This window comes from Homo sapiens, chromosome 9, assembly GCF_000001405.40.
Source record: "Homo sapiens chromosome 9, GRCh38.p14 Primary Assembly".
Classification (NCBI taxonomy): domain Eukaryota; kingdom Metazoa; phylum Chordata; class Mammalia; order Primates; family Hominidae; genus Homo; species Homo sapiens.
In genome coordinates, this window is record NC_000009.12 from 62,307,421 (window position 1) to 62,333,590 (window position 26,170).

The 26,170-nt window shown below is 34.9% G+C and overlaps 1 long non-coding RNA gene across 10 annotated transcripts in view; it reads right to left on the reverse strand.

Annotated features, from left to right (window-relative positions):
* The window catches only part of LOC105379263 (uncharacterized), a 104,681-nt gene that overhangs the window by 57,657 nt on the left and 20,854 nt on the right, over positions 1 to 26,170 (reverse strand). The window contains exon 1 of one of the 10 annotated variants that reach the window (XR_007061530.1): positions 8,072 to 8,190. The exons of 5 other annotated variants lie outside the window; for them this stretch is intronic. This is a non-coding gene — a long non-coding RNA (uncharacterized LOC105379263). Of the gene's footprint in view, positions 1 to 1,130; positions 5,720 to 8,071; positions 8,191 to 12,831; positions 13,351 to 18,381; positions 18,424 to 26,170 lie in introns of those variants that run through there. 4 more of the 10 variants (XR_001746494.2, XR_001746495.2, XR_001746496.2 and 1 more) reach the window with 4 other exon arrangements.

Sequence of the window (26,170 nt, forward strand, 5' to 3'; positions counted from 1 at the left end):
GCAATTGCTGTTCCTAAGGGAGAAGAAACAGCAAAACTTTTTGAATACTTATTTGAGGGCATAATTGAAGAAAACTTTGCTAGCCTTGCTAGATATTTAGATGTCCAAATACAAGAAACTCAATGAGCTCTGGGGAGGTTCACTGCAAAACTGACATTACAAAGCCATATAGTAATCAAGCTATCTAAAGTCAACATGAAGAAATGAATTCTAAGAACAGTGAGACAAAAGCAACAAGTAACCTATAAAGGAAAACCTATTAGACTAACAGCAGACTTCTCAGCAGAAATCTTACAGGCCAGAAGTTCACTGTATCTTTAGGCTTATCTTTAATATCCTTAGACAAAATAACTATTAGTCAAAAATTTTGTATCCAGCAAAACTGAGTCTCATAAATGAAAGAGAAATAATGTCTTCCTCAGACAAGCAAATGCTGAGGGAATCTGTCCCTATCAGACCAGTCCTACAAGAAATGCTAAATCTTGAAACAAAATGTTGAGCTGCATCAGAACCTAACATACAAAGATTCTCATAGACTCAAGGTAAGGGGGTGGAGAAAGATATTCAATGCAAATGGAAACCAAAAGCAAGCAGGTGTAGTTATATCAGATAAAGTAGACTTTAAAGCAACAATAGTAAAAAAAAAAACCAAAGAAAGTCATTACATAATAATTAAATAATTAATTCAACAAAATATAATAATTCTACATAAGTATGCACATAACACTGGAGCTCCTACATTTATAAAACAATTACTACTAGACCTAAGAAAAGGAATAGACAGCAACACAATAATAGTGAGGAACTCTAACACTCCACTGACAGCACTAGACAGATCACTGAAGCAGGAAGTCAACAACAACAAAAACAAAAAAACACTGGACTTAAGTTGCAGTCCAGAAGAAATGGACCTAACAGACGTTTACAGAACATTGTACCCAAAAACCGCAGAATTCACATTCTTCTCATCAACACATAGAACAGCCTCCAAGACAGACCATAGGATAGGCCACAAAAACAAATCTCAATAAATTTTAAAAAGTCAAAATTATATAAAGTATCTTCTCAGGTCACAGTGAAATAAAACTAGAAATGAGCTCCAAAAGGAACCCTTAAAACTATACAATTACCTGGAAATTGAACAATCTGCTTCTTAATGATTACTGGGTTAACAATGAAATGAAGAAAGAAATTAAAAAATTCTTTAAATGGATGATTATAGTGACACAAGTTATCAAAACCTCTGGGACATAGCAAAAGCAATGCTAAAAGGAAAGTTTCTAGCACTGAACACCTACGTAAAAAAGTCTGAAAGATTACAAATTCGCAACATAATGTCATACCTCAAGAAACTATAGAAACAACAAATCAAACTTAAAGCCAGGAGAAGAAAAGAAAGATTACAGCAGAACTAAATGAAATTGAAATAAAAATACAAAAGTTTAATGAAACAAAATTTGGTTATTTGAAAATAGAAATAAAATAGATCATTAGTTAGAAGAATTAAGATTGTTAGAACAATTAACAATTGTTCTAACAATTAGAATGATTAACAATTGTTCTAACAATTAGAACGATTAACAATTGTTCTAACAATTAGTTAGAACATTAGTTAGAACAATTAAGAAGATAGAAGTTTAAATTAGCTCAATTAGAAATGAAAATGGAAACATTTTAACCAATATCACAGAAATATAAAAGATCATTTGAGACTACTATGTAACCTCTATGCACATAAAAATAAAAGTAAAGAAAATAGATAGATTCCAGGAAACATACAACCCTACCAGCTTAAACCAGGAAGAAATAGGTATCCTTACAGACCAATAACAAGCAGTGAGATTGTATAAGTAAGAAAAAAAAAATGCCGACTAAAAAACCCAGACAGATCACAGCCAAATTCTATCAGACATTCAAAGAAGAACTGGTACCAAGCCTACTGAAACTACTCTAAAAGACTGAGAAAAAGGGAATCCTCCTTAACTCATTCTATGAAGCCAGTATCACCCTGATACCAAAACCAGAAAAAGGCATATCATAAAAAAAGAAAACTACAAATGAACATCTCTGATAAAGACATACGCAAAAATTCTTAACAGATACTGGCAAATCAAATCCAAAAGCATATCAAAAAGACAATTCACTATAATCAAGTGAGTCTCATCCCAGGGAGGCAAGGATGACTCAACATACGCAAGGTAATAAATGTGATGTATTTTATAAACAGAATTAAAAACCAAATACGTATGATCATCTCAATAGATGCATAAAAACATTCAGTAAAATCCAGCATTGCTTTATGATAAAAACCCTAAACAAACTAGACATAGAATAAACATATCTCAAAATAATAAAAGCTATATATGACAAACCCATGGCCAACATCATATTGAATGGGGAAAAGTTGAAAGTCTTCCCACTGAGGGCTAGAACAAGTTAAGGATGCCCATTTTCACCACTTCTACTTAACATAGTACTGGAAGTCCTACCCAGAGCAATCAAGCAAGAGGAAGAAATAAAGGGCATCCAAGCTGGAAAAGAGGAAGACAAATTATCTCTGTTTGCTGATGATTTAAGCATATACTTAGATAAGCCTAAGAATTCCACCAAAAGACTCTTCTATTTGATGAATGAATTCATAAAATCTTAGGTTACAAAATGAATGTACACAAATTAGTACTACTGCATAGCACCAACAATGATCAAGCTGAGAATCAAATCAAGAACTCAATTTCTTTTACAATAGCAGCAGAAAAAAAATTGAAATACACTTAACCAAATAAGTGAAAGATCTCCATAAGGAGAGCTACAAAAACTGCTGAAATAAATTAGAGATGATATAAACAAATGGAAATACATCCCATGCTCATGGATAAGAAGAATCATATTTGTGAAAATGACCTTACTGCTAAAAGCAATCTACAGATTCAATGCACTTCCTATCAAAATACTGACATCATTTTTCATAGAATTAGAGAAAGCAATTCTAAATTCTTATGAAACCAGAAATAAGCTTGAATTAAAAAAGCAACTCTAAGCAAAAAGAACAAATCCAGAGGCATAGTTTTAAGAGACTTCAAGTTATAATACAAGGTTTTAGTAATCAAAACAGCATGCATGGTACTGGTATAAAGGTAGATAAATAAACCAAAGGAAAGGAATAGAGAAACCAGAAATAAAGCCAAATGTATACAACCAACTGATCCTCCACAAAGCATTCAAAAACATAAATAGGAAAGGACACCCTATTCAATAAATGATGCAGGGAAAACAAGACAGCCACATGTAGAAGAATGAAACTGGATCACTCTTTCTCACCATCTACAAAAATTAGAAGATGGATCAGACTTAAATATAAAACCCAAAACCATAAAAATTCTGGAAAAAAACTAAGAAAAACACATCTGGATATTTACCTAAGCCAAAACTTTATGACTAAGACTCCAAAAGTAAATGCAACAAAAGCAAAAATAAATAAAAAGGACATAAGTAAACTAAAAACCTTCACAGCAAAAGAAATAATCATCACAGTAAACAGATAACTCAGAGAATAGAAGAAAATGTTTACAAAGTATGCATCTAGCAAATAATTAATATCTAGAATTAACAAGGAAAACAAATCAGCAAGAAAAAATAATCCCAACAGAAAGTGAAAAAAAATTACATGAATAGACATTTCTCAAAAGAAGATATACAAATGACCAACAAACATATAAAAAATTCTCAATGTCACTAATCATCAAAGAAATGCAAATTAAAACCACAGTGAGATACCATCTTTTCCCAGCATAATAGCCATTATTAAAAAGTCAAAAAAAACAAAGAAACAGATTTTGGCATGAATGTGGTGAAAAGGGCATGCTTATACATTGCTGGTGGGAATGTAAATTAGTACATCCTTTATGTAAAGCATTATGGAGATTTTTGAAATAACTAAAAGTAGATCTAGCATTCAGTCCATCAATCCCACTACTGGTTAACTACTCAAATTAAAAAAAGTCATTGTATCAAAAATACACCTGCATGTATATGTTTATTGCAGTACAATTCACAATTACAAAGATACAGAACCAACCTAAGTGCTCCTCAACCAATGAGTGGATAAAGAAATGTGGTAAACATACACCATGACATACTACTCAGCCCTAAAAAGAATGAAATAATGTCATTTGCAGCAACTCCAACTGGAGCTGGAGGCCATTATTCTAAGTGAAGTAACTCAGGAATGGAAAACCAAATATCATATATTCTCACTTTTAAGTGGTAGCTAAGCCATGGGTATGCATACAGAGTGGTATAATGGACATTGGAGACCACTAAGGGGGAGAGTAGGAGGTGGGTGAGGGATAAAACACTACATATTGGGTACAATGTACACTACTTGGGTGACAAGGGCACCAAAATCTCAGACTTTACCACTCTGTAACCAAAAACCACTTGTTCCCCAAAAGTTATTGTGTTATATATGTATATTACATATGTCTAAGTATAGCCATAGATATCCAGGATTTTTTTTTATCCTTAAAAAACCATATGATTTAAGAGAACTTAAAGTTATTAAAATATATTATTATTTTAATTCTCCATCTCCCCTGGTAGTGTGCTATGCAAATAATAATGAGGAGATATTAAAGGTCCCTGGGTTTCTCATGGATTCTCTCAAAGCACTAGCTTCTTGAGACTCTTCACACACTGAGAGAATTAGATCTGTAGCCCTTTGTCCAGTTAATTTCTCTGATTTGCAACAATAGGAAAACTTCTTTTACTCCCCTAAGAGGGTCAAATTTTTAAAATCCTTAGATTACTAGGTTCCTAGGTTAAGTACTAGGGTAAGAGGAAGACTAGGTTTTTGTATTCATATGTCAAAAGATATGATGTTCCAGAATTTGGAGACAGCTATAGGTCATAAAAACTTGGAGATACAGGGTTATTTGGTTCCAGGAGAGATTTTACAACATTCCAAAAGTTTGGAATAAAGAAGATATCCTCTTAGAAGGACAGAAAAACAGCCGTTTCCGTCCTATTATAAGTATAAAAACAAAGACAAGGAAAAAAACCATTGTTCTTAACTTCTTGCTTTCAGAGAGTCTGGCCTCTCACTAGGATGATCTGGATCTCTTTATACTGTCCAAAGATAAGAACTGGGAAAAGGAGCAGCCAACACACATTATTAAGAAATCTGTTTCTGACTGAGAACACTGTGTGGACATTTAAAATAAAATTAACAAACTTGAGCCCAGGAGTTTGAGGCTGCCATGAGCTATGATGGCATCACTACACTCTAACGTGGGCAACTAAGTGAGAACCAGTTTCTAAATAAATAAAGAAATAAAAACATAAATAGTAAAATGAATAAGATGAGTATTAAAAGCCCAAAAACAGATTCTCAAATTTTGTTGAATATGTGAATGGATGAATAAATATGAAATGTAGATGGAGACATTAGGAAGAAGTTAGCTTCCACTGAAAAATATACACAAATCAAATTCCAAATAATTAAATATGTAGAATATAGCTTGTTTACAACAATAAAAAATAATGTTCTCTGTCAGAGAAAATTAAGAAAAGCAATTTAAACTCAACTGTTATAGAAAGAAAGATTACTATCTATTTAGCAGTGCTTAAAAAGGAGGTCATAGAGAATTAATTCCAATATAAACCTGACATGAACAGCAATGCAAAAAATTTGGACTCAATGTAAAATATTATTTGATGGTGTGAATAAATAATGAAATAAATGTTCATAAGATAAATTGTTGAAATAATTTGAAATCATTTTTGAATAATTATTGAAATAATTAAATAAATTGTTCATGAAAAATTACTCATCTTGAGGAAGACAATCCCCATTTTACTACAATTTCATTATTTTATATTGGCAAGAGAAGAAATATTTTGAAAAACATTAATAAAGTTGACTTAAACAGGAGTATGATCCTCTTTCAGATGCAAAATAGAAGATAGGGGATGGAGCAAGTCTACCTTCCTTAAAAAGGTAGCTGAAGTCATCAGGAATTGTTTGTGTCATGCTACAGACCTATACTGAAGAATAATAAATGAAACAGACTTATGAACTCATCAGATATATTTACACTAAGCATACTGATTAGAAAGTTCTCCTCATGTAATTTCTTCTTCCTGAACGATCTCAAAAAAATATAATTTCAGGTCTAGATAATTGAAATAAAAGTGCATCCCTGAAACAAATTATTTAGCTCTTACTTTTTATAAATACTCTAATTGCTAAACTTATCAGGATCATGACCTACTTTGTATAGACAAATTAAATTCTAATTCTCCAGATCACAATATATAGGCTTTAAGTCACCATAATTTTTCCCCATTTGCCTCATTTCTGCCTTTCTTTGAGGTCTCTACCTTTTGTAACTAGTTTTTAATTTGTAAAATATTTACTTAATATTAGCTGATTTATAATGAATTAGTTTAGACTAGAATGGCATTTGAATACTTGTTGAAAATAATATCACTTGTAGACCCAGAATACTTTGGTAGCTACTTCATTTTCTCTGTCTCTTTCTGAAAAGTTAGCCAGCTTGCTTTAGGCAGACACTAAGGGAAGGGTCCCCCAGAGAACCTCCTATCTGCTCCACAAGTGTTTATACCAGATGTTTTGTGCACATAAGGGTACTTGCTCCGGGGGCTTGCCTAAACATGCCCGCAGTGGAAAATTTTGTTTCTTAACACGTGGGCAGTAAGAAAAATAAATCAATATGGAATGTCTCAGACTAAGGGTCTGCATGCACTCTGGAAGGATGCAGTGGAGCCTACAGGAATTCACGCCTTATACAAATAGGGAACTCAGCCCCATCAGCTTATATAAAAATGCCTTTGATTCACCTGTGAAGAGGGCAACCGGGAACCTACTTTCAGGACTCCTCTCTTTGCTGAGAGCTTTCCTTTAACTTAATAAATTCTATACAATTCAGAACAATGTGCTCTCCCTCCGTTTTTAGAGACATGTCCCTTACCCCAACCTCCAATGGCCACAGGTACACATGTGAGACAAATGGGAGAGTGGCAACTCCCAACCCCCTCCCCTCCCGTCTGGGGCACATAGCCCAAGGGCCCCACTTGGCTAGGTGGCCAGCTTTTCCTGCTCACTCTTCCCTCTCCCCATGCACCCACAGTGTCTTTCCTCCCCTGGCTGAGCCAGAAAGGAGGAGACAGCAATTAAAATGTTCTCTCCCTATTGGAGGAACTCATTTGCATAAGAATAAAAGGTTTCTCCTCCAGGCATCTTCCCCACCCTGCACTTAAGCTGTTTTATTTTATTTTTTTTTCTTTTCTCCACTTTGTAAGGAGTTAACTTTTATGAGAGGTTTTTTGTTGGTTTTTGTTTTTGTTTTTTCTTATTAGGCCAGGACCCCAATTCCCAAGACAGCCTTTTCTCTCCCTTGTTTAAGGAAGACCCAGCTCCAAAGCTTTAGGTTAGCATGACTCATTGCTGCCGATTAGGCCCCCTTCCATCTCGTGGATAGAGGTCATTCTAGTATCCACGGCATGTATGAAATCCAGAGAACTCAAAAGTTATCGACAACAGTGGGACAAGCAGCGCATGGGTAATGGTGGATAACTCGCACCCTGTAAGCCCCCTGTTAACATAGGTGAAAGCTGCACTGGCACCCATGGGTGGTAACCTGCCAAGATCACCAGGACTCAGGGATATAAGAACAGAAGAAAGAAAGAGGACACTTTTCTCCTCTCCCTCATGTACCTCAGGTATTTACTAGGAAAAAGAAGAAACTAGGGATGCCTTGCTCCCCTCTTCTTAGGTGAGTAACCAATCATCTGCAGCCCATATTTCTCTTGATTGCCTCCTGAATCACTAGGACTCTTCTGGAAAAACACCTCCTTTCTCCTTTTTCCTCCTCTGTCCTCTCTTTGTGGGTGGGTCATTGTGTCGCTGTACCACAGGACACTCCCTTTGGATGCATCTCTTAAACTGGGAAAAGTTAATTTCTCCAAACCTTAAACTGCTTGGCTCAAAACTGAGCATGAAAAAGGGCAACTCAGAAGCCTGGTACACCAGCAAAAGGGTAAAAGTTCTTACCAGGGCCGGGTGCAGTGGCTCACGCCTGTAATCCCAGCATTTTGGGAGGCCAAGGCAGGCGGATCATGAGGTCGGGAGATGGAGACCATCCTGGCTGACACGGTGAAACCCCATCTCTACTAAAAATAACAACGACAACAACAACAAAAAATTAGCCGGGCGTGGTAGCGGGCACCTGTAGTCCCAGCTACTCCGGAGGCTGAGGCAGGAGAATGGCGTGAACCTGGGAGATGGAGCTTGCAGTGAGCGGAGATCACACCACTGCACTCCAGCCTGGGGACAGAGGGAGACTCTGTCTCAAAAAAAAAAAAAAAAAAAAAAAAAAATAGTTCTTACCAGTCAGACTTCTGGCCTCCTTCTCCCTGTGCAAACCAGTTGAATAAATGATAAAATCCCTGTTTAAATCACTGTTTATATACTCTCTGAAGTTCTGATAAATAGAAAAAAAGGATTTATGAGGCTAGTCTTAAGCTGTAGCCAATGTAGTGTGCTTTGTGTGTCTTTCTGTATAGTTCTGTCATAAAGAGGGGTACCTTAGGATAGAATGCAGGCCTAGGACCCCAAAAGTTTGCTGATCAAACCAGCCTGGCAAACTGGTCAGTAACAAACCTTGCTGCAGTTCTTCATCTTGTTTTTTGTCCTTAGGAGCTTGACCTTGTAACCACTTGATAATACTTTCTTTTGGCCTCTGCCATTTTACAATGGTGGCCTGGGTTTAATCCCGGCTTAGGGAATGAGTATATTTTGGCCAATATCTGTGTGACTTTTACCATTTGCTGATTCTCTTCCCCTCTATAAACAACTTTAGCTTCCTTTCTTAAATCTTCCTTTGTCTGAACCAACTTTAAAGATCTTAGATTCTGTAAAAACTGCTTAGCACCTCTTTGAAAATAACTTTTACACTTACAGTTAAGTCATAACCTTAGTTGAGGCTTGTTGGTTTCACCTGTGAGGTTATTTTTAATAAAGTTCAAAAGCCAGAAATATTGGCTGCTCGGCATGGCTAAAGTTGGGTAATAGATATGAAACGATTTTCTTAGAGCACAGCTGAATTCAAAGTGGATATCCAAGTTATAGGTATATTTAAAGGCCTTTAAATTTTTCTCTGCATGGATCTTGTTTTTCTGGAAAAAGGTTCTTTCTCTGTTGAATGATTTTTTTTTTCCCATTTTGTCTTGTCATTCAGTGCATACATGAGAGGCTCTAAGATAACTTCTGATAGCCCGGGGCTCCTGGGAAAAAACAAAGAAGGTGCCGCAGACCCCATTTTGGGGAAAAAACACCCTCTGTTTTCCTCACGAAACTCCAGGAATTAAAAGTGGATAGATCCTTCTCAAAATCTGTCTCTGTCTTCCAGCTATGCCTGTTTATTAGGCCCTAGAAACTGTATGCTGTCCTAGACCCTGCTCTTGAAGGGCTTCACCCAGAGGCCAATAATCTATTCAGAAGATTGGCAAATGAAAAATCTTACAAGTACTGAATTTGCTTTTGTTCATCTGTGTAATTTTATATTTCTTATGGGCGTGATGTTTATATAAAAAAGCTCTAGGAAAATAAGCACTTAGATCAAATATTTTTTGAAGAAAAATAAAAGCTGTAATACCTTTTCAGTTCACATGACTATAATCTTTAAGAAATAAAGGCTGTTTTAAAAATAATTGGTAAAATACAAATGTCTTTAAAATGTAAATATGTGGGCTGAATCATGTAGGTCAAATGCTAGGTTAGCTAAATGCTTCAAAGTTATTAACTGCTTCTTTGGCTTTTAAGAACTATTTGATGAAGTTTGGCTCTGTGTCTCCACCCAAATCTCATCTTGTAGCTCCCGTAATTTCCATGTGTTGTGGCAGGGACCCAGTGGGAGATGATTGAATCATGAGGGTGGGTCTTTTTATGCTGTTCGCATGATAGTAATGGGTTTCATGGATCTGATGGTTTTAAAAATGAGAGTTTCTCTGCACAAGCTCTCTTTTTTGGTTTGCCACCATCCACATAAGATGTCACTTGCTCCCCCTTGCCTTCTGCTATGATTGTGAGGCCTCCTCAGCCATGTGGAACTGTAAGTCCAATTAAACCTCTTTCTTTTGTAAATTGCCCAGTCTCAAGATTGTCTTTATCTGCAGCATGAAAATTGACTAATACACTATTCAATTTGCCTGCTTCACAATTAATAAGTCCAGGGACATATGGAATTAACCACACCCTTAATTATGCAGGAAGGAATCAGACTTTATTTATGCCTACTACATAATTAAAGCAACTTGCCAGGTTTTACATTAAAGTTAAAAATTGCTAGGAGTTACCATAATAATCTGTAATCGAGACAATGAAAATAGATTTACATATAAGGTAAGTAAGGAAAGTAAAATATGTTTTTAGTAAAAGATTATAAGAATGCATGAAAATGTAAATTTTTGCCTTGGGTTAAAGGATTGTTTTGAATTAGATAAGATAAAGCTGAAGGTTTAAACAAATGGTGAAAAGTTTGTAAAACTTAATCTTGCAAAAGAAATTGTGTGAACATATTGGCTAATTTCAAAAAAGTATTTTGTTTTTGTAAATTGAGCATTGAAATAAAAGCACAACAAGGTTTTCTAAAGGCGCTGACCTGCTCTTTAACAACAATTTGTAAAGGGTTATAAAAGTTTAAAAAAAATCTCACCTCATGGTCAAACTAGATAAGATTAGATATAATTATCTATAAGTTTTCATTAAAAAAATTAGGGTTGACATCAACAGTAGACTAATGCAAGGATGAAATTAGGCTTTCACTTGAACAGCATTTCCCTGTAAAATTAACGACAGATTGTTTGGAAAGCTAAATTTTCCCTCTTCCTGTGAATATGCTTTTGCGTTGTTTTAAAATGTTTGAGTCATCATTTTGGCTAAAATAAATGACATGTGGTAACTTGGAATTCTATTTTATAGTATCAAGTGCTTTGAACCTCTAACGTAATTAACAGTCTTCCCAAAATCAAACTTCAGTTTTAAAATTGTCTTTCCTGGTCCCTGGAACATCCAAAACAGAAGAAAACTGGGTTTTTTGAAATGTTTAGTTATATGGTATTTCCAAAGTTGTATTTAATCTGCTTTAGGTTATATTTTAGTGAATAATATTAATATGTTTCAAAATTATATGAGATTTCTAAAATTCTAATGTCTGAGTATATGCTATCAATCATAATTAAGGTTATTATGTTTAGTTATTGTAAACCCTAGAAATAACTAAATTTCTTTGTCAATTGTATTCTTGACAGTAACTACCCTGGACATTTCATCATTCACAGACAAATGTCTTGTTTTGATCCTACTCAAAAGATGATTTATAATCAGCTATAGGATTTTGACAAGTGTTCTCAAATGCAAGATTCCATTAACTCTGGAGATTATGACATTGAAAAAAATACAGTACTCATGAAGAACTGAAATGTTCATGAATATCAAGCAGAACAAGAGAACAGAATGGATTGAACTAATAGAAAACAAGTATTATTTTTAACCTTTTTGCTTAAAACTTTGGTGATCCTTGCTTTATTTTTCTGAGTCAAGGATACTTATTTTGACCTATTTAAAACCTTTAATAATTGAGTAAACTATACGCCTGTGAACAAAATTTGAAGGATGTTTGTTTCTCTCTGCCTGGCTTTGCCAGAATTTGGAAACTATTTGTGAGAATATTTAATTTATGGCAATTCAGTTATTTTCATCAGTGCAATAAGAATACATTTTCTTTTGCAACAGGACACAATTGAAGAAACTGGGGGTTTTACCAAGGCTTTTACTGGAAGGGTATATGTTCCTTTAAGTCATTAAGCTGGACTTGCCAATAAAAGTCCCTTGGGAAAACTGGCTACATACCTTGTCAACACAGTCCTTGTACAAGGTTCCTAACCCATGGGGAGTAAAGCATGTCACTTTTTAACAGGCTTAGGAGCCTGTTAAAAAGCTTGTTCTTGGGACATCAAGAAGAGAATGATTTACCAAACTTGTAGATATTTGAGGGTGGAAACCCTTGGCTGGGCTTGGCCTTAAAAGGTCTTAACTGAGATGCCTTATGGAACAGAGTTCCATCAAAGCCAATTTAAAAGCCTATGGGAAAAATAATTATTCTTTTTGCACTTTATGCAAATAAGACAAGTATAAGGCTAAAGTTTATTTTTTCAAACAACTGAGTCCTATCATGATTTGTTTTTGACAAAAATGAGGACTGGAGAGAGAGAAATTATGTTTCAAAACGTATTCTACATTTGTCATTACATTATAATCCCATTAGTTGTTTTTAAGTTTTTGCCTACATTTTAGACTACCCTGCTTGTTCCTGTGGACCAACCAGCAATGTACGGCTGCAGCTCAAAAGAACCAAAGGGACGAGTAATATAAAAAATCTGGATCAATATTTTAATTCTGAACAATTATCCTGCAAATCCTTCCAGGTGATCGGAGTAAATAGGTGCCCATAACCCAGAGATTTCTTTGTTTGGGAAAATAAGACCAAGGGAGCTAATCAAAGCCAAGCCCCATGAATACAAACCTTAGCAGGCATAACTATAGCCACGAGTTATCTGGCTGTATTGGCAGCCTTGAGATTTTGTTTTGTTTTGTTTTGTTTTGAGCTGTCCTTATCCCTTTGTTTCATTTTGAATATGTCTTCTAATAACCCAAATTGTTTCTTCTCACTTAAAGGCCGTTCAACATCAAATGGTGATGCAAACAGAACCACTCATGAACACACCGTTCTCTTTGGGGACCCTTAAACTGACCTCAGGAGGAGCCTTAACTGCCACTTTCCCAAAACAGCACCCCTTGTCAGCAGGAAGCAGTTAAGAGCAGTCGTTGTACACTTTCCCCAACAGAATTTGGGGTCTCCACTCCTGAAGGGAGGAATGAAAGGAGTCAGCCAACTTGCTTTAGGGAGACAGTCAGGAAAGGGTCCCCTGGAGAACCTCTTACCCACCCCCCAGGTGTTTATACCAAATATTTTGTGCGGATAAGCGTACTTGCTAAGGGAGCTTGCCTAAACATGCCCATAGTGGAAAATTTCGTTCCTTAACATATGTGCATTAAAGGAAATAAATCAATATGGAGAGGCACAGACTAAGGGCCCACATAACTCACTGGAAAGGTGGAGTGGAGCAACCAGGAATTCATGTCTCATACAACCAGGAATTCACAGCCCTATCAGCTTGTATAAAAATGTCCTTGTTGCCGGGTGCAGTAGCTCACACCTGTAATCCGAACACTTCGGGAGGCAGAGGCGGGCAGATCACTAGAGCAGGAGTTGGAGACCAGCCTGACCAACATGGTAAATCCCATCTCTACTAAAACTACAAAAATTATCCGGGCCTGGTGACATGTGCCAATAATCCCAGCTACTCAGGAGGCTGAGGCAGGAGAATCACTTGAACCTGGAAGGCAGAGGGTATAGTGAGCCAAGATCACGCCATTGCACTCCAGCCTTGGCAACAGAGTGAGGCTCTGTCTCAAGAAAAAAAATGCCCTTGTATTCAACTGTTAAGGGGGCAACCAAGAACTTGATGTCAGGACCCCTCTCTTTGCTGAGAGCTTTCCTTTCACTAAATAAATTCTACTACACTTACTCTTTGAGCGTCCATGTGCCTACTTCTTCAGAACTTAGGCCTAGCTGGGCTAAGGAGCAAAAAACCCTGCATCGTATCTCAAACTCAACCTTTAAGTTTTTGTCCTACTAGTCTCCTTCACATTTTGCAATACATTAAAATTGCTTCAAGGTTTTTTCAAAATGTGTTTTTGGTAATTCTGCTAATTTATGCTGTTTAAAACATCCTGGCTGAATGATTTCAAATAAATTTTATAACATCTATTTCCATTTTTTTTTCACTCAGTACATATGAATCCACTGTTTAATCCAAATTTAAAGTAACAATCATTAAAGTAAATTAAAATGGAGTCCAGGCCTGAAGAATTTCTGAGCAGACAAAACCAGTTAGGCATCATAAGTGATCTAAACCTTGTTTGATCTACAGATATAAGGGAAACTTGAGCTATTATCAATTTCTATATTAAAGAAAAACAGAACTTAAGTTCAACCAATCAGAAGTAGCCAACACACATAATCATACAACTGAAGACTTTCCAGTGGGATAGACCTAATAACGTACAACTTTGGTACCAAATAAGGTACAAATAACTGTACAACTATAAATAGTCAAATATTATCTTTAGTTTTCTTCTGTGCCTGTCCTCTAAAAGCCTCCCCCTGTGATCCCTCAGTGGTGCTCTTAAGCCACTTTTATGGTTTGGAGCTGCCTGAGTCATAAATCATTGTGTAAATAACATATTTAAAATTTTATTGTGTCTTAGTTTATCTTTTAACACAGTGGTCCTCAACCCTTGGTTATGAGCTATGGCTTGTTAGGAATCAGATCATACAGCAGGAGGTGAGCGGCAGGTGAGTGAGCATTACCACCTGAGCTCTGCCTCCTGTCGAATCAGCTACAGCATTAGATTCTTATAGGAATGTGAACCCTATTATGAACTGAGCATGCAAGGGATCTAGGTTGTGCATACCTCATGAGAATCTAATGCCCGATGATCTGAGGTGGAACAGTTTCATGCCTGTATTAGTCAGGGTTCTCCAGAGGGACAGAACTTATAAGATATATGTATATATGAAAAGGAGTTTATTAATGAGAATTGACTATATGATCACAAGGTGAAGTCCCATGATAGGCTGTCTGCAAGCTGAGGGGCAAGGAAGCCAACAAAGGCTTAGTTCAGCTACAAAAGCCTCAAAAGTAGGAAAGCTGGCAGTGCAACATTTAGTCTGTGGCCAAGGGCCTGAAAGCCCCTGGAAAACCACTGCTGTAAGTTCAAGTGTTCAAAGCCTAAAGAACCTGGAATCTGATGTCCAAGGGCAGGAAGCATCCAGCACAGCGCAATGATGAAAGCCAGAAGACTCATTAAGTCAGCTTATCCCACCTTCTTCCACCAGCTTTGTTCTAGCCAAGCTGACAGTCAATTGGATGGTGTCCACCCACATTGAAGATCGGTCTTCCTCTCCCAGTCCGACTCAAATGTTAATCTCCTCCAGCAACACCCTCACTGACACACCCAGAAACTATTCTTTACCAATTATCTAGGCATCCTTCAATCCAATTAAGTTGACACCTATTATTAACCATTACAATCCTGAAACCATCCTCTGCTCCCCTGTCCGTGGAAATATTGTCTTCCACAAAACCAGTCCCTGGTGCCACAAAGGTTGGGGACTACATAGAACTCAATGAAATGAGAAGTAGTTTCTGATTCAGCTAATGTCTGTTAAGTGATTCTCTCTATAGATCCAAGTATTATGAGCAACCTCACACAATCACATTCATGAGATTTCTATTACTCTGTGTGTTGGACTTCAAGGAAGGAATGGAATGCCATCATTAGGCACCAAATACTTCCACTATTGATTAGCATTGAGATTTTTAGTAAATATTTAGGAGTACTGGGGGATGAAGGAGAGACAACACTATTTATTCTTGTACTAGAATACTCATTTCTAATGCCTATAATTAAATCAATAGGAAAGTTATGGAGAAAATCTGGGCATTTTGAGATAGTTGAAGAGTAAGTATTCCATATGTATGTCAGTTGAAAATTATTTTTGCTATTTGCTTTTGAAAGAATATAACAATGTTAGCAAATGAACAAGGTAATTCCTGGCTGAATTATATAATTATTTACAGTACTCCCAAAGATATTAATCTATTACCATTATATGTAATTCATGGGGAATGATATTAAACAATAGATAAAATATCAAGTTAATGTGTTTCAGGACATCACTCACAGCATAATGAAAAACTGACTTACTTCTGTATTTCAATAGCTTCAATACTCATTCAACATTACTGTGCATTACAAATCTATTGGTAAATTGCTTGCAAAAATAAGACTGAAAACAATTTTAAATTAAGTGTACAAATTTTTCTCTTTTTCTTTTGAAATAATTAATATTTTATTTTATTACTATAGTTTCCTTTAACTCTATAATTTGAACTGAGATGTTTGGAGAAAAAGTATTTTTAAAAGAATTTATAACAATAAGAATAACTGTTAGAATGCCAGTCCTATCAAGAAATGTTAGAAATATATAAGCAAAACTCAAAAGTAAATATCACTGTCTGTCTAACCATATTCCATGCATAGCTTCTACTACTGTTCCCCAGAATTGTCTGTTTTATCATTTCTCTTGACTTTTGATACATTTATTCATATATCCTCCATCCTCACTTAGTCCCTACTGTTTGTACTTCGGCATCATATCAACCCTATCTTGCCACTTAAAAGACAAAGTAATACTACTTTTTCAGTTTTTTTTCATTTAATGTAAGAAGTTATCATTTCCCCAATAGTGAAATGATGCAAAATGATTATTTGATGTATTGTCCAAATGGGTTCAGGTTTGTGACAGTCTCAAACACATCAGGGAGTAGGGACACCCTTCAGTTAAAGCACAAAGTTGTATTTTAATCTGTATTTTACTTTTAAAAAAGATTTTTTCTCAATATCACATAAACATCAAGCTCTTTATTTTACCTCTCTATTTACTTATTTACACGATTTAAGATTGAACATTTTTCATTATCAAAATTATTTTCAAAATATGTGTAAAATTGTTGAAATCTTAATTTTTCCAAAATGACAGCTGACTCCTCTTAAAGGTAATGGGAATCTTAGAATGTTATTTGCAAGTCAGTCTACAGCATTCTTTTCATATATAAAATGTTGTGTACTAATTTTTGAAATATTTGTAAATTAAATAGGTCATTTTTCTTTCAGGAGAAAGGAGACTTTGAGAAATTTTTGTGCAGGAGAAGAGTAGTTTTAAAAATAGGTAGTTTGCAATAGGGCAGACTAGTTTTAAAACTCTAAAATGAGAGCAAGTCAATAAGAGTCTCGATTAAATCTAGTGATCTTATTATTTATTTATTAATTGACATGTAATAATTGTACATATTCATGGGGTATAATTTCATACCTGGATACCTATCCATGTTGTATAATGATCCATTCAGAGTGAATCTATTATCTTACATATTTATCATTTCTTTGTGGTGAGAACATTCGAAGACAACTCTTCAAGCTATTTTGTAATATACGATATTTCACTGTTAACCATACTTACTCTACGTGCAACACAACACCAGAATTTTTTGCTCTTATCTAGTTGTAATTTTATACCACCAATCAAAGTTTCCTCATCCTTCTTTTCGTCCTCCTGTCTTTAGTCTCTGGTAACATTTTTCTACTCTCTGCTTCTATGCTATTAACTTTTTTAAATGTTTGTATTTTCTTTTTTTTTTAGACTCCACTTATGAGTGAGATCATGCTGTACTTGTCTGTCTGTGTCTGGCTTATTTCACTTACCATGATGTCCTCTAGATTCATCCATATTGTCATAAATGGCAAGATTTTATTTTTTATGGCTAAAGAGTACTTCATTGTATACAGATAGTGCATTTTCTTTTTGCATTCATCTGTTGCCAGACACTTAGGCTTATTCTGTATCTTGGCTATCATACATAGTGCTGCAATAAAAATGACTAGGTGCATTGCAATTAGCTTTAAAAAGATGGAACGGCATTGTAAGGACAGACCATGAATCTAAGCCCTTAGGTTGAATACTTAGGTTGAATAAAATTGTTGGAAGAAGTGGCTATTTGATGTATGTAATGAAAGGGATTCTTACTTGGCAGGTATTATTAGGAGAAAAAAAAAGGGAGAGAAAGTTGAAGGAGAGGGGAAAACTGCCACAGCAGGTTAAGCAACTTGCTTTAAAATAATTGGGATTAGTAAGTGTGCAAAGATAGAACTGGTGATGAAAGAGTGAGACTGGAATTAGGAATTAATTTGTAATACTAATGTTGCAGGTTGGGTCCTGGTTATGAGATTAAGTGGATGCTCATTCTTTGGAGCTATAACTGACCAGTGCCACATTAACAGATTTGGAAAATATGAGATTAACTATGAAGGTACAGAAAATAAAGGTATTAAAATTCTTTCTATATTTTAGATCTAATTGTTAATAATATAGTATATACACATCCATACTATATTATATATGTATATTACATATATAATAACATATATATGTGAAAAGCTATGGTAAATAGAAAACATTAGCTGGGCATGGTGGCTTATGCCTATAATCCCAGCACTTTGGGAGTTGGAGGCAGGAGGATACTTGAGCCCAGGGATCTGAGACTAGCCTGGGTAATATGGCAAGACCATGTCTCTACAAAAAGTAAAGAAAAGTAGCTGGGCCTGGTGGCACACACCTGTCATCAAAGCTACTCTGGAGGCTGAAGTGTGAGGATCACTTGAATTCAAGAGGTCAAGGCTGTAGTGAGCTGTGTTCCAGCCACTGCACTCCAGCCTGGGTGAGAGCACAAGACCCTGTCTAAAAAAAAGCAAAAGAAAAAAGAAACATTATTGAGGAGAAGAGATAAATAGAGTCTTAGAAATTTGAATTGATACATGAGTAAAGAATGACCCAATTATTTTTTACCGGGAATGGGAAAATAAATTTTATTCAAGTCCACAATATAGTTTTTAAAGCATAGACAATATAATACAGGGGTTGGGGGCGTGGTTACAACAATGTTAGAAACACTGAAAGAGCAAAAGGGGCCTGCTACTCCAGATGATGAGCAAATGAAGGAAGCCACTTCCATCCTTAACTGTGAAAAATGAGTAGGGGAAGGTGGTGCATTCTGGGTCCCATGATTCCAGACTGACCATTGGCCCTATTTGAGCGCAGCTGCCATTAGGCAGAAACTCTGGACTCCAAACTCTCAGTAAAACTTCTGAAGACACTGCTGTTGCTATTGCAGCTGTCAGCACCATTGATTCAGCTGAGAAGCAGCACAGAATATCACACTGACACCCACGCTGTTGGTTGTGTTTTTTTGAACCAGATTGAAATTAATATCTATTGTATGGTTCAATTTCTATGAAGTTCAATGTCAAGCAAATGTAATTTATAAAGATAAAAGTAAGAACAGTGGTTGCCTATAGTAATGATTGGAGGTTCACAATAGAGACTCCTGGATTCTAGTAATACTCAATTCATATTCATGTAGGTTGTGATGACATTAGTATTTTACGTTCTAAAAATGTTTAATGCTATATGCTCAAGATCTGTGTCTTTCACATGTGCATATCATATTTCATATTTCAATTAATAAATCAGTAATAAAAGTTCCAGTTCAGGATACAATACTGTAGAACAATCCAAAATATTAATTTATTCCTAAAGTTTTAAAAATATTAGAATAAATACGGAGCATTTTGTTAAAACAGTATGGTAAACCTAAATGTAAAAAAAAATTAAATTGAGTTAGGAATTTCAAAAAGACATTTCATGTGCCTTTTCAACTTTCAATTTCATATGAAAGTTGAAAAAACTTGAAATCAGTTAAGTGTGCATGTGTATGTAAAACAAAATTACTGCATATAAAAACTTTTTTGAGGCATCTAGAAAATATTTAGCAGTGTGCCATAGTTTAGAGGCATTTTAAAATGCTTTTTAGTGGTACATAAAAAATTAATTAATGACAGAGTCTATGAAAAACAAGTAGAGCAGCTTGAAATAATTCACATATTTTTCATGTAAAAGTTTTAGGAGAAGTCCAGTGATGTCACGATAGCTCTACGATGTTGATTTATTTTGTCGCTTTTATATGCTTATTTTATATACAAAATAGCTGAAAACAGCTATGAATTCTAAAGCATGGTAACAGGGGTAAAAGGTCACACACATTTCTTTTAGATGCTGCAAATATTGCTTCTGTTCACACGTTATCGTCCAAAAATTAGTTACATTGACTCATCAAAGTGCAAAGAGGCTGGTAAATGTACTTTAATTTGCTAAATGCCTTGCAAGATATAGGGATGTATATTGAGAAGACAAAGAATGGAAGTGAGAATTACTTGTTATTTTGACTTCCAACTATTGGAGAACATTCCCAAAGAAATATTATACTAAATTTCTGCCTGAATAATTATTTCAGCATCTCTTTCATGGTCTTTGCTTAAGGGCAGTGCTTCCAGCTGAGGCTGCATACAGTCTCATATTCCATAGACTAACTGTCTAGGGTAATTCAGACTTATAACCTAAGTTTATGTTACAGCTTTTCTAACTTATGTTCCTTTGATGGAGTTTATCCTCATTGCCCCACCCCCCAAATGGTTTACTAATAAAGTATAGTCTAAAACAGAAACATTATTCTTTTTATATTCTTTAATCTCCATTGAAATAAACACAATTTGTAGAATTATTAACTAATACAAATTAATTGAAAAGAAGCATCTTTCTTTTATATGAACAATGACATAGTTCAAATTTATCTTGAAAACAGTTTTAAGCACAAGTAATTACGCTGAATATGTAAATAACCCATTTATAAGTAGGTCAATAGGAAAACATTTCAACAAATTTCAAACTTGATATCATTTCTAGATCTTATGAAATAATGGAACATGTTTTGGAAGGTAAGAGAAGTTTACTTAGCCAATAATAACAGGTCTCAATCAATTATTTTTTAACAGCTAGTTTATCCCTGGATATACCTTACTATATCCTGTTTTTAGATATGGCATTTGAAAACCTCCAAGAATATAGATATAATTTTAATTGAGCTATTATGGTTAGTATTTATTTTTAAAGTTCTGAATTTTTTTAAAAAATTCAATTTCTATGGTATATTAACAAGATTGATTGGAATAATGCATTTTTTTAATGTGGTGGGTTGGTGATATGTTTTTCTTCTGAGAAAGAAGGCTGTTCATAATCTTAAATTATATTAGGTTTTAGAAACAACAAAAATTGTGGGATTCCCTTAATGGCTTTCTTGCACTTGAGTTCTAAAATATTTATCAATCTCAAATATATTTTGCATTATGTTGAAAAATGACTATTAATAGTTTCTGCTAAAAGGAATTATCAACTTTTTATGCATCACCATTTCAGAGTTGGGCTTATAAAAATATCAGTATCTGTCCTACATATATACCAATGTTTTTCAATTTTTAGTCAATTAAATATGTTTCATTGATTTTCTGCTGTGTGCCTAAAATTGTGCATGATGATATTATAGAAGGTACTGTGAAAAGGCTTAAAGCAGTATATTTAACCACTGCCTACCAGAGTAGTACATAGAGAAGCAAACCTAATCTATAAGCAACAATGAGAGCGTGCTACAGATAACTTTTAATATTGTAAATATATATGATACAGACGATAAAATCTTTATGAAATAATCTATAGGAGAGGTGAAATGGGTCTCTGCCAGGAGAATGCAAAGGCAGTAAAAAATTAAAAACCAAAATATTGAGAATTATTTTGAGGAAAGTGTTAGTAGAATTTAATAATACATTTAATAGAAACATAAGATTAAAAATGCAAAGATGAATTCAAAGTTGCTTACATTCAAAAATAACTCATTAAATGTACAGTATTTTAAGCACACTTTTGATCTATGAAGAGTATAAATATGAATAAGACATAGTTCTTTAGGCTAGACATAGAGAATATTTTTTGTGCAGAAATAAAATCTAGAGTATGTAATATTAGGGGAAAGAAAATGCCTCATAGATGTCAATAAACCTTGTTCCCTCTATTTTTTTTTTACTGGTTTCATTTCCTGTAATAATTGTGGTAACAGTAATGCTGAAAAAATTAAACCTCCAACTCTTAAAACAATAAAAGTTATTGCTTGCTTAAATAATAGGAATGCTATCTGTGATTTCCTGCAGGGTCATTCAAAGATTTATTATTTTCCCATCTGTGGTTTTGCCATCCTCAATACATAGCTCTTGGGGGTTTTCTGTGGATTGTTTTAATGTTAGCCAACCAGAGAGAATAAAAAGAGTGTTAAAAATTATTAATTCTGGGTCTATGTGACCCTGTAAGAAGGCTACATCACTACTATATACTTAGAACCTAAATTTCTATGCCAAAATATAGGCGAATATAGCAAATATTGTCCAAATTTACAAGGAAAGAGAAAATGAATTGTGTGTTCATCTTACAGTTTCTAATAAAATCCCCAACATTGAACTTAAATGACTCTCCAGTTGTTCATTAGGAGCATATGCTGTTGGTTGACTGCCAGCATACATTATCTCACCTTTTCTTTCTAAAATAGAACATATTCAATATATCCAAGGCTTCCAAGGCTTCAGTACTTCTCTAAGTTTACTGTCTCGTCTTCAGATTCAGGTATGATGTGATTACTCTAAGTATAGCCTGATTCTTTGCCAAAAATAAGAACAAAAATACGCATATGGCCCAATTCAGTACAAAGGCAAATCAGGGCAAATTACCTTAAGAGTTTTTAAGATAAATGTTTCTCTTGGTGTCTCTTTCTTGGTCTTCTGGGTAAGGTTGTATCTGAATATGATGACCCTAAATGTCTGCAGACATTTTTGCAGAAATGTTAAGGGTAAAAGTGACACAGCCAATAGCAAAGAAGTGCCAGAAAATACGTAAGCAAACTGTGACCTCTTTTTACCTCTTGATTGACTTTTATGTTAAATAATGAATTTACCTTATGCTTGAAAGAATTTGAAATAGTATTTGGCAGTGAAGAATTTACTCCTCCCATATTTTCATTCAAGAGAAATTTCCATGAGGAGGGTTGTTGGTGGGTTACCTCCAACTCAACCACTTCAGAGCTACTACAGTGGTAATGCATGTTGAAGAAAAGAGTCAAACTCTGTGAAATATTTGAAGAGATTTATTCTGAGGCAAATATGAGTGACCTCGGCCTGTCACACAGCCCAGGAGATCCTAAGAACATGTGCCAAGGTTGTTGGGCTACAGCTTGGATTTATACATGTGAGGGAGACATAAGACATCAATCAGTACACCTAAGATACACATTGGTAAAATTGGGAAAGGTGAGACAACTCAAAGCAGGTGGGGGTGGGGTGGGTGAAGGCTTCCATGTTAAAGGTGAATTCGAAGATTTTCTGATTGGCATTTGACAACTGGCTAAAATAATTTATCTAAAGACCGGAATCAATAGACAGGAGTGTATGGGTTAAGATAAGGTGTTTTAGAGACCAAGGTTCTTATGCAGATGAAGCTTGCAGGTAGCAGGCTTCACTGAGAATAGATTGTAAATGATTTTTATCAGACATAAAAAGGAAAAAGGACTTGGAATCAGGAAAAATCAGGAAAAAGACTTGGAAAGAGAAGGGGATTCTCTACAAAATGGAGATTTTCCCCACAGAAACAGCCTTGTAGGGCCATTTCAAAATATGTCAAAGAAATGTATTTTTGTGGTGAAATACTTTGATTTCTTTCAAGGCCTGCTATCTGTCATGTTGATATCTTATTGCTACGAAGAGTCTGTTTTGTCATTCTTAAGTCTCTACTTTAATGTTAACACTGTTCAGCTATGCATGAATTCCGAAAGGATGAAAGTAAATAACGAAGCATGTTCAACCACCCATTTCCATCATGGCCATTACTGTTTCAGGTTTAGTTTAAAATGCCCTTGGCCAAGATAAAGGGCCCATTTAGTTGGTTAACGGACATTGAATTTTATTTTTGGCTTACATGCAGGTGCCATGCTCTCCTTAGGTTGCTCCCTGCCAATGCTGAGCAAGGAAGATATTATAGGGCTTTTCATTCTTGTCCCACATGGACTCATCTAAAGGTCAAAGTTCACTTTGGTGCTCTTTCAGTGTGGCTGACAATTTCTCAGATCTGCACTCTTCTCTGAGGCTCCTCCTTTCCAATTATCTTTCATGCTCTCTCTTCTTTTGAGGTGCCGGCTTGCATCATGATCTGGAGGCTCTTGCAGCCTCTTGCTCTATCTTCTCTTTATTCTTCAAAGGCGTTTTCTCTGGTTACTCTCTTATACGTGTAATTCCATCTTGGTGTCTGATTCTTGGGAAACCCAAACTGGCTTATAATTTTTCTTACTTTCAGTAAAACCTTCTTTGCTGATGCATCATTCATTAATTCATTAAATGTATTGTGTTTTGTATGGGAAAACAATGATGCCAAAGTGTCTATAGCTATATAGTCTGATATATGCTATAATAAGAATTTGGAAAAAGTATTATTGGTTCACAAAGGCAGAAATTTAGGAGGTTAGATACATTTAAAGTAAAATTTGATTAAAAAGTGTGAACTTAAATAGATTAAGATAACATGGGGTGTTTGTAAAATATATTAGTAAAATACAATGACATACCCAAAGTCCTGTTAAATCAAATTAAATATGGCCTGAGAAAAACGCCATACTTCTATATTTCAGTCCTTGTGAATGAACTGCAACCTAACTCAATAGGTACACAAGACTAAAACCTAACTTAGGAATATGCGCCTGTAACAATCGCTGAGTCTTGGCCAATTCCAGCAGCCATACTTCAACTAGTCGCATACAGCTGAGTGTTCAAATAAGGCAAGTGCCAAGCCATAACCAATCCAGCTGTTTCTGTACCTCACTTCTGATTTCTATGGGTCACTTTACTTTGTATTGTCTATAAATTCATTCTGACCATGAGACACCCCTGGAGTCTCTCTGAATCTGCTGTGATTGTGGGGGCTTTCCAATTTATGAATCATTCATTACTCGATTAAACTGTAAATCTATTTTGGCTGAAGGTTTTTTTTGTTTTGTTTTGTTTTTTTTAGCAGTCCTCACCATAATGATCCATACACGTAAGTGTCTAATATAATCTTTCTAGCTTTCTTTTTTGGTTGTGTTTAGTCATACTGTTGCTGATTCAGCTTTGTATAAAATGTCAGAGCAAAATGACTATCAATAATACAGAGATCTGCAAGAATTCCCACACAGGTGAAATATGCATGGTGGAAAGAGGCAATTCTTAAGGCAAAGAGCCAAGCATGTACCAAACACCAATGCCCTTGCATACCAAAGCTAAAGATTCTACAATTTGCCAAAGATAAGAATGTACCTTTCACAACAGCAAGGACCTCATATATTGTCTTATTATATATCCCTAAAATCTAGCACAGTGTTGAATAAGAGGAAGTAGAAATAATTTTGAGAAGGAATTAAACATGTATTTGTAGAAGTCAAGTCTTACCCATTGAAAAAATATCTCCCCCATATTTGTAATTCATTAAATTGTTTGGAAGGGAAAAGAAACTAAAGGGAATACTCCATAGAGAAAGTTGTTTCAGAAATTATGTAAATTTATTCTAATAACTAAGAAATAGTGAAAATGTATTAGAAAGGTTAGGTAGAGGCACATTTCAGATTTAGACTAAGGTGCAAATGGCTTTCTACTTAATGATAGAGAAAAGCATAAATAAAAGTACATTGTATACATGAAATGGTTTTGTTTGAATTGGGTATAGAATATCAAATGAGAAATATATAGTAAGGAATTGAATATATGGAAATACAGATATAGACGGCCAGAGCACCTACTTGTAGCTCTTGATAGCAGAATTATCAGTCAACTGAAAAGATATTTTAAGACCTCCAAGAATAAGTAGATAATTTCTATTCTGTATTTTGTTAATGAAAGAAAACTAGGGTAATAACTGCTTGAATTTTCATCACTAGCATGTTTCCTACATACATAAACATAGTGAGTAGTGAGTATATTCACATATAAAGTAACAAAGAATTATAGTAAACCCCAACATCCAATCGGGAAAAATGTTGTAACTCTATATATTCATTAAATTGTTCACAAACTGACATCTTTTAGCATATAATATGGTTTCCTTTAGCTTGTTAAAGAGCATGGACTCATGACTAAAACATAAGAACACCCAATGAAGTTCAACTAAATCAATTCAACTATGAAAAATAAACTGACTAGTGATCATCTCTTTATTATTATTGAAAGAATAACTTACAAGTAAAAACATTCAATTTTTGAAAACAGCTTTATATTTATTGAATTTATGCATATAACGTTAGTTGCGTTTCAAAATAAAATGGCTGCCTTAAAAGTCATGCAAAATTACATATTTATACATTCTCTGAATTAAGCAGGATTAATTGAAAAGTGGTTATGAAGGCATGACTGCAAGCTACAAATTGAGCCTATTTTTAGTAACTTGCTCTAGCT